The following is an 18,318-nucleotide window of genomic DNA, read 5'->3' on the forward strand; positions in this document are numbered from 1 at the left end:
ACTGTGTATGTGTGTGTGTGCACGTGCGTGTGTGTGTGTGTACATGTACATGTGCATGTATGTGTGTATTCTAATAACATTGTCTCCTCTGGCCTTAGACTGCATCAATTAAAATACAACCTCTTAACATTTCCTGACTTTGTGACCTGGACAAGTTATTTAATTTCCATTTGCTTTCATCTTTCAAAAATAGGCATGCAGAACCTGGGAGGCGGAGCTTGCAGTGAGCAGAGATTGCGCCACTGCACTCCAGCCTGGGCAACAGAGCGAGACTCCATCTCAAAAAAAAAAAAAAAAATAGGCATGCGAAGAGTATGCACATCACAGAATTATTATGACGATTACATGATTTAATATATGTAAAACACCATAAAAGGGTTCCTAGTATATATAAGGAACTCAAAAATGTTAGCTATTGTTTGCTAGTAATATTATTAACTATTCACTGGGTGGTTTTAAAAAGTGTTAAAAGTTCTATTGAAATAGTTTCAATCATTTGAGACAGAAAAGTGAGCTAGAGTGAAATTTTAGCTAACTATTGTAAATCGGTCTTTATTTCATGTGCCAATTCAGTATCAGGTTTTTAATGTCAGCATTTTTTACTTTGACCTTCCAGATAATATGGAGGTGGATTTAAAAGATTTCTTAATGAAAATGAAAGAAAGTCCACATTTCCAAAAGTCCAAGGGTAAGTGAATACTTCTTGTTCAAGAGAATGGCTAGAAAATAAATATTTAAAAATGACATTTAAAAATGAAAGGTCCAACAGTGATAGACTGGATTAAGAAAATGTGGCACATAGACACCATGGAATACTATGCAGCCATAAAAAATGATGAGTTCATGTCCTTTGTAGGGACATGGATGAAATTGGAAATTATCATTCTCAGTAAACTATCACAAGAACAAAAAACCAAACACCGCATATTCTCACTCATAGGTGGGAATTGAACAATGAGAACACATGGACACAGGAAGGGGAACATCACACTCTGGGGACTGTTATGGGGTGGGGGGACAGGGGAGGGATAGCTTTAGGAGATATACCTAATGCTAAATGACGAGTTAATGGGTGCAGCACACCAGCATGGCACATGTATACATATGTAACTAACCTGCACATTGTGCACATGTACCCTAAAACTTAAAGTATAATAATAATAAAAAAAAGACTATCTGGATTTCAGGTTTTTAATTTTTAGTCTCTCTAATTTTAAAAAGGATTTCAAGCCACTTATGATGTATAGTATAAATAATATAATATAAAAATAAGTGAAGAAAATTGGGCAAAGATATAATGAGGGGGAAAACAAGGTAAGGTTAAAAAGATTAATATGTGCAAGGTCCTTTCTCAAAGGTAGTTAGGTTTTTCTTCAATGACTTGTGGATCTATGAATTAAATCATGTGTGGAATTGGATGAGGGACCACCAGTTTTTGTGACATCTTAAGTCATGCCTCTGGAGTTTTCAGATGTTCACAACTGGACTGCCCATCTATTTCAGTTATAGAAATCCTAACTTCAGTTAATCAGTCCTTCTAAATCCTCGCAGTATCAATCCCTGTATTATTCTTAATACCACACTATCTATGTTGCCTAACCACATCATTTTGTCCCTGCTATTTAAAGACTTCTGCTTGGCCTCTGTCCCTGAGGTTCGTCTTATTCTTTTTGAAATTAGGGAGACCATTTCAACACCAACATATTTTCCTGACTCCCACATCTGCAGAGAACACCTACCAAAGAACTCTTCATGGATGCAGATACCCTTATCAATGGCGTATTTCTAAATGCTTTGGTGAAACAAATGTCTTTGTATCACATTTTTTACATTTTAATATCTCTAAAATTGGATGCCTTATAGTATTTTTAATCAGATGTAGCTTTTAGAATTGAGACATAATTAATATACCATAAATTTCACCCTTTTAAAGTGTACCATTCAGTGATTTTTAGTATATTCAGAAAGTTGTGCAACCATCACAACTTTCTAATTCCAAAACATTTTCATGACTCCGAAAGAAACTCTGTACCTGTTAGCAGTTATTCTCCATTCCCACCTCTCTCCAGCTACTGACAACCATGAATCTACTTTCTGTCTGTATGAATTTGCCTATTTTGAACATTTCATATAGATGTAATCATATTGTATTTTTTTGTGTCTAACTTCTTTTATACAGCATATGCTTTCTTTCTCTTTTTTTCAACTTTTATTTTAGATTCAGGGGGTACATGTGCAGGCTTGTTACCTGGGCATATTGTGTGATGCTAAGGTTTGGGATATGAATGATCCCATCACCCAGGTACTGAGGATAGTATGCAATAGTTAGTTTTACAACCCTTTCCCCTTCTCCCCCTCCCCTCCTCTGGTAGTCCCCACTTTCAATTGTTGCCATCTTTCTGTTCATGAGTACCCAGTGTTTAGCTCACACTTATAAGTGAGAGCATGCAGTATTTGGTTTTCTGTTTCTGTGTTAATGCACTTAGGATAATGGCCTCCAGCTGCATCCATGCTGATAGCATGTGTTTTCAAAGTTCATTTATATTATAGCATGAATTAGTACAATTGACTCTTGAACAATGTGGGGGTTAGGGGCACCTTCTAGATAATATGGAGTTGGATTTAAAAGATTGCTTAATGAAAACGAAAGAAAGTCCACATTTCCAAAAGTCCAAGGGTAAGTGGATACTTTTGCTTCAAGAGACTGGCTGGAAAACGAGTGGCTACACTGTCAAAAATTCATGTATAATTTCAGACTCCCCCGAAACTTCATTACTAATAGTCTACTGTTGAGTGGAAGCCTTATCAATAACATAAATGATTGATTAACACATATCTTTACGGCATATTTATATAATACTGTTTCTTACAATAACACAGCTAGAGAAAAGAAAATATTGTTAATAAAATCATAAGGGAGATAGAATATGTTGACTCTTCATTAAGTGTAAGTGGATCATCATCCTCATCCTCACCATCTTCAAGTTGAGTAGGAAGAGGAGTTGGTTTGCTATCTCAGGAGTGGGAGAGATGGAAGAGGTGGAGGCGGTGGAAGAGGAGGCAGAAGAGGCAAGGACACTTGGTTTAACTTTATGGAAATACATCATAATTTCTTGTCTGACGTTATTGGCTTTTCATTTCTCTAAGAATGTTTCTCTATGATACCAATCTTTCACTGTTTGCTTTAGTTTCAGTGTCCATATCATTGAAGGGTCCATGTCATAATATAAGTCAAAGCAGTCATGAATAATTGGAACTCTTCTACCCGATTGTCTAATGTCAATATGTTTCCTTGCATTGCTTCTTCTATGCCTTCTTCCTTACCATCTGGCACTGGTTTGGAAGCATTCATCCCTATCAAGTCATCTTCAGTTAATTCCTCTGGTGTGGTGTATATTAACTCTTGAATTTCTCCCAATAGTCATATCTTGAAACCTTTCACCCTTCACCATTTTTTTTCTCGCCATTTCCACAATCTCTTTCATGATCTCCTTGTTTAGCTCTGTTATAAATCCTGTGCAGTCATGCACAACATCTGGACACAGCTTTCTCCAGCAGGAGTTTATTGTTTGGGGCTTGATGTGGCATCCTACTGAAGCCTTTCATGTTCTCTCTGTCAGGGTTTTCTTCCACAGTGTTGACAATTCTTTCCATAGAGTACCATGTGTAATGGGCCTTTAAAGGCTCTTATGACCCCCTAATGTAGAGGCTGATATCATATTTGGAGCCAAGTAGACCACTTCAATGCCTTTGGTGTTGAATTCATAGAGTTTGGGTGGCCAGAGGCATTGTCCAATATCAAAAGAACTTTAAAAGGCAGTCTCTTCCTTGCTTCAGGGACAAAGCATTGATGGAACCAATCTAGAAAAAGAATTCTGGTTTTCTAAATCTTCTTGTTATACAATCAAAAGATGGCAGCAGGAGTTTATCTTTTCCCTTCAAGGCTTGAGGGTTAGCAGCTTTATGGATAAGGGCAGTCCTGATTTTAAACCTAACAGCATTTGCACAAAACATTAGAGCTAGCTTACCCTTCTTAAATCCTGGTGCTTGCTTCTCTTCCCTACTAATAAATGTCCTTTTTGGCACTATTTTCCAGAATAGGGCACTTTTGTCTGCATTAAAAACTTGTTCTGGGATACATACTTTCTCCTCAGTGATTTTCTGGATACATGTATATTCAAATCCTTTGCCCATTTTAAAATCAGGCTTTTTATTGTTGAGTTTTAAGAGTTATTCATATATTCTGGATACTAGACCTTTATCAGGTAGATAATTGCAAATATTTTTTCACATTTTGTTAGTTGTCTTTTTTCTTTCCTGATGTCCTTTGAAGCATAAATGATTTTGAATTTGGTAAAGTTCAATTTATATTTTATTTTGTTGCTTCTTTGATGTCATAAAGATAATGCAAACTCCTGAAGGTTTACACCAAAGTTTTCTTCTAGTTTTAGCTCTGTTATTTGAATCCTTAATAAATTAGAGTTAATTTTTGTATGTGGTGTGAGATGACAGTCCATTTTTATCTTTTTTGTTCCAGATATTCAGTTGTCCTAGCATCAGTTGTTGAAAACATTGTTCTTTCTCCACTGAATGATTTTGGTACCCTTAGAGAAAATCAATTGATCATAGATGTATGGGTTTATTTCTGGACTCTCAATTCTATTCCTTTTATATTTATTCTATCCTTATATCAATATCACATACTTTTGATTGCTATAGCTTTGTTTAAAGTAATAACCTAAACAGTAATTTTTAACCAGAGCAGGGTAACTAGAATTACCCGTAAAGCTGGTTCACCTGGTTCTATCTGTATATGATGAAGTAGCTTGTATTTTATAGAATAACTATAAAATCTAGTAAAAATTAAGCAACATAAGCAATCACCACAACTGTTTAAGGGCAATGGGCAGTAACCAAGCCTGTCAGGATTTGTGGGGCCATAGGATAAACACAAAGAAAACCACATTTAAGAACATGAGAGTAAAATGGCTGAAAACCAACTACAAAGAGAAAATCCTAAAAGCCACCAGTGAAAAGTTATACATTATTTTCTAAGGAGCAAAAAAATACTGATGGCTGGGTGTGGTGGCTTATGTCTATAAGCACTTTGGGAGGACATTGGGGGAGGATCGTTTGAGGCCAGGAATTTGAGACCAGCCTGGGCAACATGGCAAGACCCTGTCCCTACAAAAAATTTAAAAATAAGCCAGGTGTGATGGCACATGACTGTAGTCCCAGCTACTCAGGAAGACAGGAGGATCACTTGAGCCCAGGAGTTCAAGGCCACAGTGAGCTGTGATCACGCTGCTGCACTCCAGCCAGTGTGACAGAGTGAGATCCCATCTCTAAATAATAATGATGATAATAATAATAAATATTTGTAGCTTTCTTTACAAAAGATGTTTACAAAATTATCATTGGAGGAGCCTAGCTTAGTTCATGAGTCAATAGTTTATTGGTTATTACTGTTCAGGAGTTACAGTGCTGGTGAAATGCACTGTCTTTCAGAATGCTGTGGTCCATCTCTGATGAATGCCAGAGATAATGGAATAACATTGAATACTAAACTTTTTTAAAAGGCTGTGAACATTGTATTCTATATTAAAGTATGTTTTAAAAATGAAATAATATTTTTAAAAAAAACAAAGTTCACTACCAAGAGATCTACATATAAGAAATGTCCCCTCTCCCTCTCCCTCTCCCTCTCCCTCCCTCTCCCCACGGTCTCCCTCTCCCTCTCTTTCCACGGTCTCCCTCTGATGCCGAGCGGAAGCTGGACTGTACTGCTGCCATCTCGGCTCACTGCAACCTCCCTGCCTGATTCTCCTGCCTCAGCCTGCCAAGTGCCTGCAATTGCAGGCGCACGCCGCCACACCTGACTGGTTTTCGTATTTTTTTGGTGGAGACGGGGTTTCGCTGTGTTGGCCGGGCTGGTCTCCAGCTCCTAACGTGAGTGATCCGCCAGCCTCGGCCTCCCAAGGTGCCGGGGTTGCAGACGGAGTCTGGTTCACTCAGTGCTCAATGGTGCCCAGGCTGGAGTGCAGTGGCGTGATCTCGGCTCGCTACAACCTCCACCTCCCAGCCGCCTGCCTTGGCCTCCCAAAGTGCCGAGATTGCAGCCTCTGCCCAGCCGCCACCCCATCTGGGAAGTGAGGAGCGTCTCTGCCTGGCCGCCCATCATCTGGGACGTGAGGAGCCCCTCTGCCTGGCTGCCCAGTCTGGAAAGTGAGGAGCATCTCTGCCCGGCCGCCATCCCATCTAGGAAGTGAGGAGCGCCTCTTCCCGGCCGCCATCCCATCTAGGAAGTGAGGAGCGTCTCTGCCCGGCCGCCCATCGTCTGAGATGTGGGGAGCGCCTCTGCCCCGCCGCCCCATCTGGGATGTGAGGAGCGCCTCTACCCGGCCGCGACCCCGTGTGGGAGGTGAGGAGCGTCTCTGCCCGGCCGCCCCGTCTGAGAAGTGAGGAGACCCTCCGCCCGGCAGCCGCCCCATCTGAGAAGTGAGGAGCCCCTCCGCCCGGCAGCCACCCCGTCTGGGAAGTGAGGAGCGTCTCCGCCTGGCAGCCACCCCATCCGGGAGGGAGGTGGGGGTCAGCCCCCACCAGGCCAGCCACCCCGTCCGGGAGGGAGGTGGGGGGGTCAGCCCCCCGCCCGGCCAGCCGCCCCGTCTGGGAGGTGAGGGGCGCCTCTGCCCAGCCGCCCCTACTGGGAAGTGAGGAGCCCCTCTGCCCAGCCAGCCGCCCCGTCCGGGAGGGAGGTGAGGGGGTCAGCCCCCCGTCCGGGAGGGAGGTGGGGGGGTCAGCCCCCCGCCCGGCCAGCCACCCCGCCCGGGAGGTGAGGGGCGCCTCTGCCCGGCCGCGCCTACTGGGAAGTGAGGAGCCCCTCTGCCCGGCCACCACCCCGTCTGGGAGGTGTACCCAACAGCTCATTGAGAACGGGCCATGATGACAATGGCGGTTTTGTGGAATAGAAAGGGGGGAAAGGTGGGGAAAAGATTGAGAAATCGGATGGTTGCCGTGTCTGTGTAGAAAGAGGTAGACATGGGAGACTTTTCATTTTGCTCTGTACTAAGAAAAATTCTTATCCTGTTGATCTGTGACCTTACCCCCAACCCTGTGCTCTCTGAAACATGTGTACTCAGGGTTAAATGGATTAAGGGCGGTGCAAGATGTGCTTTGTTAAACAGATGCTTGAAGGCAGCATGCTCCTTAAGAGTCATCACCACTCCCTAATCTCAAGTACCCAGGGACACAAACACTGCGGAAGGCCGCAGTGTCCTCTGCCTAGGAAAACCAGAGACCTTTGTTCACTTGTTTATCTGCTGACCTTCCCTCCACTATTGTCCTATGACCGTGCCAAATCCCCCTCTGCGAGAAACACCCAAGAATGAGCAATAAAAAAAAGAAAGAAAGAAAAAAAAAAAAGAAATGTTACCAATATCAGGAATGAAAAAAGGGACATCACTACAGCATACACAGACATAAAAAAGATACTAAGAGGATCTTATACTTTTATACCAATGCATTTGAAAATTTTAATGAAAAGAATAAATTCCTTGAAAAACTCAACTTACCAAAGTAGCTGAAGAATAATTAGAAAATCTGAAGAGTAACTCCAGGTTCAGACGGCTTCATTGGTAAGTTATTTTAAAATTTAAGAAGGATATAGTATCACTCTTACATAAACTCTTTCAGAGTTTAGAAGCAGGAAGAACATTTCCAACCTCATTTTATGAGGCCTATGTAATCTTCATATAAAAACCTTACATGGGCACCAAATTATAATTCAGTCCCCATCATGACCACAAATGGGGAAAGCTTTAATAAAATAGGATCAAATGAAATCTAGTGATATATAAAAAGGAAAGATATATCACAAGTTGAATTCTTTTTAGGAGTGCAATATTGGTATTAATTAACAAAAATAAAAATAATTCTTCATATTACAAAATAAAGGAGGAAGAAAAATCATCTTAATAGATGTAGAAAACATATTTGATCAAATTCAACACCTTTTCATGTTAAGGGGTACTTACAGAAACCTACAACAATCATGTTTGAAGGAAAATTTTAAATTCTTGCTCACAGAGATTAGGAATGAGACAAGAATGTCTACTATCATCACTTCTGTTCAACCGTGTACTGGAAGTCCTAGCCAGTATCACAGGCAAAACAGAATAAGAAAGATAAGGATTAAAAGGGAAGAAATAGAATTTCCATTACTCATTGCCAATATAATTAATAGGTAGAAAAAATATGAATCTATACACTGGTTATTATATTATTTTATTTCAGTTAATGAGCAAATTTATCAGAGCTGCTTGACACATGATCAATTTAATATAATTCTATGTTCAAAAATTGTATTTCTGTATTTTGCCACAAACAATTATAAAATGAAAATAAAGATATGATTTGCAATGATACAAAAAAGTAAACATTTAGGAGTAACTAGTGAAACAAGTTTATAATTTTTAAACAGAAAACTACAAAACAATTTTGACAAAATTTAAAGAAAAACCTAAATAAATGGAGAGATATATTATGTTTTGTAGTTTCAATATGCTTTCAGTTCTCACCAATTTGAGCTATATATTCAATGCAATCCCAATCAAAAGTCTAGCATAATTTTATAGAAACTGACAATCTGATTTTAAATATGAGAATAAATGCAAAGGGCCAAAATAGCCAGGGCAAAGTTGAAGAAGACAAAGTTGTAAAACTCACGTTACTTTACATCAAGATTTATAACAAAGTTATAAAGTTGCAACAAAGGTACCACTGCAATGGAGCACGGAAAGGATGGCCTTTTAAATAAATGATGTTATTTCAACTGAATATTCATTTATTAAAAAGTTAATCTTGGTGCCTTCTTTATAGCATTCACAAAATATGTATCATTTTGCTAAAAATGATATTACCAGGACAAATAGCAGAATGTGAATGGGTTTGAGAATTAGATGACATTATTACATTGTATCAATGTAATAATTTCCTAATTTTTATGATTGTATTGTTATGTAAGAGAATGTTCTCATTGGAGAAAATACACAATAATATAGTTAATGGTGAAGGGGCATTTTGTTGGCTATTTACATTAAGATATTTCAGATAAAAAAATTTTGTACTGTACTTGCAATTTTTCTGAGGGTTTGAGATTGTTTAAAAATAAAAAAGTTGAGGGGGCGTGTTCCCGTCGGCTGCGCCCGCGGCCCGGGGCGGAGTTGGCCACCGCGCCTGGCTGCGGGCGGCCGGGCGAACGGGCTCGGCGCGCAGGTGGCTCCTCCTTCGCTTCTCCCGATCCCCGGCCGTGCCAGGCACGGTGCCGGCTGCCGAGGGAACGCCTTTGTGCCCGGTCCTGGGAACCCGCGACGGCCGCCGCGCGCCCCGGTCCATTGTTTCGCTTCTCTGGGTTCCAGGTAGGTGCGGGCGGCGCGCGGGGTCCGCACGACGTGTCACCCCGGCGGTTGGGGCGCCGGGACCCGCGGGCGCCGGCAGGGGCGTTCCCGGGCGCACGGCGGCGGTGCAGCACCTGAAGCGGTGGTGGTCGGCCAGCGGCGGCCTCCTGCACCTCACCCTCCTGCACCTTACCCTCCTGCTGAGCTTTGCTGGGCTCCGTGTAGACCTAGACCTTTACCTGCTACTGCCGCCGCCCACCCTGCTCCGGGACGAGCTGCTGTTCCTGGGCGGCCCGGCCAGCTCCGTCTACGCGCTCAGCCCCTTCTCGGCCTCGGGAGGGAGGGGGCGCGCGGGCCAGTTGCACCCCAAGGGCCGGGAGCTGGACTCTGCCGCGCCGCCCGAGGGCCCGCTGCTCCGGGAGGTGCGCGCTCGGGGTCCCCTTCATCCCTCTCACCCCGGTGGATGCGTGGCTGGTGCACAGCGTGGCTGCCAGGAGAGCGGACGAGGCCCACGGGCTGCTCGGCGCCGCCGCCGCCTAGTCCACCGGAGGAGCCGGCGCCAGCGTGGACGGCGGCAGCCAGGCTGTGCAGGGGGGCTGCGGGGACTCCCGAGCGGCTCGGAGTGGCCCCTTGGACGCCGGGGAAGAGGAGAAGGCACCCGCGGAACCGACGGCTCAGGTGCCGGACGCTGGCGGATGTGCGAGCGGGGAGAACGAGGTACTAAGAGAAAAGCACGAAGCTGTGGATCATAGTTCCCAGCGTGAGGAAAATGAAGAAAGGGTGTCAGCCCAGAAGGAGAACTCACTTCAGCAGAATAATGATGATGAAAACAAAATAGCAGAGGAACCTGATTGGGAGGCAGAAAAGACCACTGAATCTAGAAATGAGAGACATCTGAATGGGACAGATACTTATTTCTCTCTGGAAGACTTATTCCAGTTGCTTTCATCACAGCCTGAAAATTCACGGAGGGCTTCTCATTGGGAGATATTCCTCTTCCAGGCAGTATCAGTGATGGCATGAATTCTTCAGCACATTATCACGTAAACTTCAGCCAGGCTATAAGTCATGATGTGAATCTTCATGAGGCCATCTTGCTTTGTGCCAACAGTACATTTAGAAGAGATCCAATAGCAAGGACTTCACAGTCACAAGAACCGTTTCTAAAGTTAAATTCTCATACCACCAATCCTGAGCAAACCCTTCCTGGAACTAATTTGACAGGATTTCTTTCTCCGGTTGACAATCTTTTTTTTTTTTTTTTTTTTTTTTTTGAGACGGAGTCTCGCTCTGTCGCCCAGGCTGGAGTGCAGTGGCGCGATCTCGGCTCACTGCAAGCTCCGCCTCCCGGGTTCACGCCATTCTCCTGCCTCAGCCTCCCGAGTAGCTGGGACTACAGGCGCCCGCTACCACGCCCGGCTAATTTTTTGTATTTTTAGTAGAGACGGGGTTTCACCGTGTTAGCCAGGATGGTCTCGATCTCCTGACCTCGTGATCCGCCCGCCTCGGCCTCCCAAAGTGCTGGGATTACAGGCGTGAGCCACCGCGCCCGGCCCTCCGGTTGACAATCTTATGAGGAATCTAACAAGCCAAGACCTACTGTATGACCTTGATGTAAATATATTTGATGAGATAATGTCATTGGCCACAGAAGACGACTTTGATCCAATCGATGTTTCTCAGCTTTTTGATGAATCAGATTCTGATTCTGACCTGTCTTTAGATTCAAGTCACAATAGTACCTCTGTCATCAAGTCTAATTCCTCTCACTCTGTGTGTGATGAAGGTGCTATAGGTTATTGTACTGACCATGAATCTAGTTCCCATCATGACTTAGAAGGTGCTGTAGGCAGCTACTACCCAGAACCCAGTAAGCTTTGTCACTTGGATCAAAGTGATTCTGGTTTCCATGGGGATCTTACATTTCAACACATATTTCATAACCACACTTACCACTTGCAGCCAAGTGCACCAGAATCTACTTCTGAACCTTTTTCGTGGCCTGGGAAGTCACAGAAGATAAGGAGTAGGTACCTTGAAGACACAGATAGAAACTTGAACGTGATGAACGGCGTGCTAAAGCTTTGCATATCCCTTTTTTCTGTAGATGAAATTGTCGGCATGCCTGTTGATTCAATAGCATGTTAAGTAGGTACTATCTGACAGACCTACAAGTCTCACTTATCCGTGATATCAGACGAAGAGGGAAAAATAAAGTTGCTGCGCAGAACTATCGTAAACGCAAATTGGACATAATTTTGAATCTAGAAGATGATGTATGTAACTTGCAAGCAAAGAAGGAAACTCTTAAGAGAGAGCGAGCACAATGTATCAAAGCTATTAACATAATGAAACAAACTGCATGACCTTTATCATGATATTTTTAGTAGATTAAGAGATGACCAAGGTAGGCCAGTCAATCCAAACCACTATGCTCTTCAGTGTACCCATGATGGAAGTATCTTGATAGTACCCAAAGAACTGGTAGCCTCAGGCCAGAAAAAGGAAACCCAAAAGGGAAAGAGAAAGTGAGAAGAAACTGAAGATGGACTCTATTACGTGAAGTAGTAATGTTCAGAAACTGATTATTTGGATCACAAACCATTGAAACTGCTTCAAAAATTATATCTTTAAGTACTGCTACTTGAATAACTCAGTTAAGGCTCTGTTTTGAAGCTTACATGGACAAATGTTTAGGACTTCAAGATCACACTTGTGGGAAATCTGGGGGAGCCATAACTTTTCATGAAATGCATTGTATACAAAATTCATAGTTATGTCCAAAGAATAGGTTAACATGAAAACCCAATAAGACTTTCCATCTTGGCAGCCATCCTTTTTAAGAGTAAGTCGGTTACTTCAAAAAGAGCAAACACTGGGGATCAAATTGTTTTAAGAGGTATTTCAGTTTTAAATGCAAAATAGCCTTATTTTCATTTAGTTTGTTAGCACTATAGTGAGCTTTTCAAATACTATTTTAATCTTTATATTTAACTTATAAATTTTGCTTTCTATGGAAATAAATTTTGTATTTGTATTAAAAATAAACTTCCCTTTTATACAGAAAAAAAGAAAAAAGTTAAAGAATTTTTTTAAAAGGGTTGCCAATTGGCGATGCATATATGGAAAATAACATTGTAGTTAAATTTTAGGTACCTGGATTTTGTTAGGTAATTTCACTTCTTTGGATTTTAGATTCGTTTTCCACATGAGTGGTTTGGTCTCAAAAGTCTCTAAGTTCAGTGATGTAAATTGAATTTTTTGCCTTAAATATTTCACATTTTAAAAAGTTGTATAGTTTACTATCATAAGAATTTAATGGATAAATAACCTTATTATATAATGTGGATTACTATAGAAATTACTGGCCCTGGAAAATTAGATAGATTCTCTTATTCTCAGTTTTCTTTTCCTCAAAATAAGGATAGTAATGCCTATATCATATGATAGTTGTAAGAATTAAGTGAGAGCATTTCCCTGTAGTAGCTACTGATTAAAAAGTTACAAAGTCAAGAGATGCAAAATGTAAATACATCACGTTTTTATTAAATTGATAGACTGCCTTTTCCAAAATACAGTGCTGTAAATTGAATTTTATGCCTCCTATATATTACATTTTGAAAAATTGAGTAGGTTCAGAATTAGAAGACAATTGGCAAATAACTTTGTTATATGGCATAGGTTACCATAGTAATTACTGTCTGGGTGATACTGGAAAAATAATTTAAGTTTTCTTATTATCCTTTTCTTCTTTAGAATATCAGTGGAATTTGAAACACATTTTGCTTTTATATCCAGGCATTGGAATCCTTTTCATTCAAATGGCATAGTTGGGTCCATTTTGTGTGCTAGCTTCTTTAGGATCCAATCTTCATAGCGTTAATTCCTTTTTTTAAAGAAGAGAACCTTAATGCTCCAAAGGATATAAGGCTAATAATGCTTCTATAGAAGTTGTAAGAATTGAGACCATGCCTCTGTATTAGGTAGATTACAAAGTTATAGACTCAAGTGTGTGAAAATGTAATTATATCACAGGTTTTGGTTAAATCAGTAGTCAGTGTTTAATTAGTAGTATTATGACTATCCAAATTAGCTCATTGATGAGTCAGTAGTCATCCCATTACCTCCATGCCTCTTTGCATGTGCAATCTCTCCCTTCCCCTTTCTTCTGGAGTTAACAATTATCTTTTTAAAAAACATATGTTTTCCTATAGACCTATTACTTTTTCCCATGTTTCAGACAAAAAATTTTTGTACGGTACTTGCAACTTTTCTGAGAGTTTGAGTTTGTTTAGAAATAAAAAAAATGTTTAAAAGCTTTAAAAAAGGGTTGCAAATTGGTGGTGTGTGTATATGAAAAACAACATTGTAGTCATATTTTAGGTACCTGAATTTTTTTTTTCCTACTGACCGGTTGTATGATGTTGCATAGGTAATTTCACTTCTTGGACTTTAAACATTTCTGACACAGTCATGTTTGAAATGTTAGTCAAACATTGACTATGATTTTTGAAATCATAATAAAAAATGTTTGAATATTAACATTTTCAAAACACTCAAACACAGTTTTATGTACTTTAGATGTTCTGATTTGGATTGTTTCTCCCCTACACCCGCTAAACAGCTGTCATCCCAGGATTTCTCTTTAGTAGTGTTCTATGGCTCACATGTTTACTGAATCCCTGTCATGATTTACTCTTTATTTTACTGAAGCACATTTTGCATTAGGTTCCAAAGTAAAACAGCATGGGAGATATAATTTTTGAGTCTTTGAATGCTTCCCAATATCCATATTTTACCTTTATTGTCTTTGATTATTTGGCCAGGTATTAAATGGTAAGTCTCTAACATAGTGCTTATCATGTTATCATAACAAAGTTACTGTAATTAAGACAGTGTGGTATTGACACAAAAACCAATAGAGTAGAATACAGAGTCCAGAAAGAGATCTACACATAATATGCCCATCGCCTTTACAACAAAGGTACCACTGCAATGGAGCAAGGAAAGGATGGCCTTTTAAATAAATGATGTTATTTCAATTGAATATTCATTTATTAAAAAGTTAATCTTGGTGCCTTCTTTATAGCATTCACAAAATATGTATCATTTTGCTAAAAATGGTATTACCAGGACAAATAGCAGAATGTGAATGGGTTTGAGAATTAGATGACATTTTTACATTATATCAATGTAATAATTTCTGAATTTTTATGATTGTATTGTTATTATGTAAGAGAATGTTCTCATTGGAGAAAAAACACAATAATATAGTTAATGGTGAGGGGACATTTTGTTGGCTATTTACATTCAGATATTTCAGATAAAAAAATTTTGTTTAGAAACAAAATATGTAGGTATAAGGTAGTTGCCTTATAAATGGAAGATAGTATTATTGTTGGATCACATTGGAGCGTGGTTTGTCCTCTTACATCCAGCAAGCTATACCTTCTATTTCACCTATAAATTATTTTATTTATACAATATTCTCAACTGGGACCAGTTTGACTAAGAACTGGAAGAAGAAGCTACTCATGTCAACAAAGGGCTGAAGTAATTATTTTTCACAATATTAATATCCAGTGAATTTCTTAGAAAACAATTATGCTTATAGGTTATTCATCAGTTTAATCATTTTAAGGTAACATAACTTTAAGTTAAATAATGAAAGACAATTTTGATTTAAAGCTTATTAGTAATGCTTCACAATGATTTCAGGGCCACATGTGAAGTAATATGTGGCTCAAGGGATAAAGGTTGACTACCTATATGTTTCTACTTGAAAGGCACAGTGGTTAAGAGGATGGGCTTTGGAACTATAGGGTCTGTTACTTAAATCCCATCCCTGCCACTTACTGCCAATGTATTATTTAGTAAATCACTTAATCTTGCTAACCTCAGTGTTTTCATCTGAAAAACAGGGATGAAAATGCCTATCTTGGGATTATTATAAAGACATTTGTAATCTGGTAAAGTGAAATTGCTTAAAACAGTGTCTAGCACTTAGCAAGTGCCCTGTGACTGTTAGCTATTGTAATACACTCTGGTTTTTAAAACTATACAAATAGTTCCATGTACAATTCTAGAATCAGATCTTCATATTTTATGCAACCTGAGGCTATTAAGTGATAACTAATAACATATGCTCTATTTCTGCTGTTGAAACATTTGCTTTTGCTCTCCTTTTGCAGCTACACAGATACTCTTAGCTACTACCCAAATTCTCCAGAATGATCTAGTTGATGTCTCTGACCTCAAGACATTATTGATGGACAAGGACCTTCATACAGCTAATGCTATACTTACTGTAATGTTAAGACATGTACCTGAACATGGTTAGTAGTTTCAATGCGTCTATCTTATAAGGACCATCCTCTACCACAGGGGTGGAAGGTCTATGGGTAGGACATGCAGGGATGGAGGGTATCCTGTGGAAGCTGAGGTGGGATGACTGCTGGACACTGGTACTGCCCCTACAGGTGTGCCAACCCTGAGCTTCATGGGGCCAAACAAATGGGGAAGTCAGAGCTCATCTTATCCCTGTGTGAGTCCACTGACAGTACCTAGGAGGTGAGATTATTTTGTGAACTGACTGACATGCACAGTGGTCAATCAGAATGCCATCCATAGAGTAAAACAGGGTCCTGGAGGCCCTTTTGGTTTTTGGAAGGTAAATTATGATGATATCCAGGGATACCAGGGGGTGTTGCACATAGTGGTGGCTCAGGGCAGCAGATATTTATAAATATAAAAAATAATTTTACTATTTTAATGACAGGTATAGCTGAATATTATCCATGATGGGTTCTTAAAATGAGTTGGGGAGTATTTTTTTGTTTTGTTTTTTAAAAGAGACTTTTTTCTTCCTTGAATGTTGAGTAGAATTCATAGGTGAAGCCATGTGGGCCAAGAGTTTTTTTGTGAAAGGCTTTGGATTATTTATTTAATGTCTTTAAATGAATAGGATTAACAAGGTATTCTATTTTCTTGTTAGTTTTGGCAAGCTATGTTTTTAGAGGAATTCGTTCATTAGATCTGCCTTTTCAAATGTATTGAATAAAGTTGTTCTCTTTTTGACATCTGACATAGCTGTAATGCTATCCTCATTTTAATTCTCAAAATTAGTGGATTGTAGCTTCTTTTTTTTACTCTCGATTGAACTCCACAGTTTTCAATTTTATTAATCTTTTAAAAAATTCAACCTTTATCTTGATTGACCCTTTTAAAAATTTATTTCCTCTTTATTATTTTTGCTTTTATCTTTACTATAATGTCTATACTTGATCTTAGCCAAAAGGCTGATAAGTGATTACTATATGCTGACTTATTACAATTCTTTTATTTTTAATTTTTATGGATAAATAATTGTTATACACATTTATGGGGTATGTGTGATATTTTGATACAAGTATTCAATATATAATGATCAAATCAGGATAGTTGGGTTATCTGTTACCTCAAGCATTATCAGTTCTTTGTGTTAGAAACATTCCAATTTCACTCTTTGTTATTTTGAAATATAAAATAAATTATTAACTATAGTCACTGTATTGTGCTACTGAACACCAGATCTTATTCCTTCTAACTGTATTTTGTACCCATTAACCAACCCCTTTTTTTAATCTCCTTCCGCCTATATCCTAACATCTATTTTTTCTTTGTTTTTTTTTAACTCTTTTTTTTCCTTTTTTCAGTCAGCTTCCCTAGGGTGAATATATCCCAATTTCTAGTGATGAATATTTAGCTCAATAATTTTAAGGATTTTTTTTTTGTTTGTAATACATACCTCACAGCAAATTTTCCTCAAAGTACTCATTTAACTACATCCTACAAGTTTTGATATATAGTATTTTAATTATTGTTCAGGTCAAAATTTTTCTGATTTCTGTTGTCATTTTTTCTTCAACTCATGGTTTTAGAGGTATGTTTCTTAATTTCCAAAAATTTGAGGTTTTATAGTCATTACATTATTAATTTCTAGTTTAATTGCATTGTGGTGGTCAGTGAACATACTCTGATTTTAGTCTTTTGAAGTTTGTTGAGGCTTGATTTATTGACTATGATAATTTTAGTAAATATTTTATGTGATTGAGAAGAATATATAGTCTGCAGTTGGGTTGGGTGAGAGTGTTCTATATATTAGATCAGATTTATTGTCAAATTCAAATTTTTTTATATTCTTACTGATGTTTTATTTCTTTGTTCAATAGTTACTGAAACAGTTGTTCTAAAATCTTCTACAATTTTATACCATGATTATGTATTTGTCTACTTCTCCTTTTAATTCTGTCAGTGTTTGCTGTCTATAGTTTTAGCCCATGTTGTTAACATGCTGACTTAGAATTAAGGCTGGGCATTGTGTTTCATGCCTGTAATCCCAGCACTTTGGAAGGCTGAGGCAGGCGGATCACTTGAGCTCAAGAGTTCGAGACTAGCCTGGGCAAGATGGTGAAACCGTGTCTCTACAAAAACTACAAAAATTAGCTCAGTGTGGGCCAGGTGCGGTGGCTCATGCCTGTAATCCCAGCACTTTGGGAGGCCGAGGCAGGTGGATCACGAGGTCAGATCAAGACCATCCTGGCTAACACAGTGAAACCCCGTCCCTACTAAAAATACAAAAAATTAGCCAGGCGTGGTGGCGGGCGCCTGTAGTCCCAGCTACTTGGGAGGCTTAGGCAGGAGAATGGTGTGAACCCGGGAGGTGGAGCTTGCAATGAGGTGAGATTGCACCACTGCACTCCAGCGTGGGCGACTGAGCAAGAATCCATCTCAAAAATAAATAAATAAATAAATAAATAAATAAATAAATAAATAAATTAGCTCGGTGTGATAGCGTGAGCCTGTAGTCTCAACTACTTGGGGGGTTGAGGCAAGAATTGCTTGAGCCCAGGAGGTTGAGGCTGCAGTGAGCTGTATTCGTACC

At 39.6% G+C, this 18,318-nt stretch overlaps 1 protein-coding gene and 1 pseudogene across 6 annotated transcripts in view, besides 1 other annotated feature; both read left to right on the forward strand.

The window, feature by feature from the left end:
- Window positions 1–18,318, forward strand: part of EFCAB13 (EF-hand calcium binding domain 13) — a 117,358-nt gene that overhangs the window by 90,277 nt on the left and 8,763 nt on the right. For 3 of the 6 annotated variants that reach the window (NM_001426587.1, NM_001426586.1, NM_001195192.2), the window contains 2 exons: window positions 617–688; window positions 15,587–16,479. In NM_001426587.1, the coding sequence (NP_001413516.1) occupies window positions 617–688; window positions 15,587–15,735 (221 nt within the window). In that variant the 3' untranslated portion in view covers window positions 15,736–16,479. Of the gene's footprint in view, window positions 1–616; window positions 689–1,680; window positions 4,495–15,586; window positions 16,480–18,318 lie in introns of those variants that run through there. The other 3 variants (NM_001426588.1, NM_001426585.1, NM_152347.5) reach the window with 2 other exon arrangements.
- On the forward strand, window positions 9,218–12,461 carry NFE2L3P2 (nuclear factor, erythroid 2 like 3 pseudogene 2; annotated as a pseudogene).
- Window positions 9,266–9,335: a silencer, noted in NCBI's record as "silent region_8626". NCBI's record gives its function as "represses an Ori minimal core promoter by ATAC-STARR-seq in GM12878 lymphoblastoid cells {active_cell/tissue: GM12878}" and the evidence as "EXISTENCE:reporter gene assay evidence [ECO:0000049][PMID:35858748]".

The sequence above is a fragment of the Homo sapiens genome, chromosome 17, assembly GCF_000001405.40.
Source record: "Homo sapiens chromosome 17, GRCh38.p14 Primary Assembly".
NCBI lineage: Eukaryota > Metazoa > Chordata > Mammalia > Primates > Hominidae > Homo > Homo sapiens.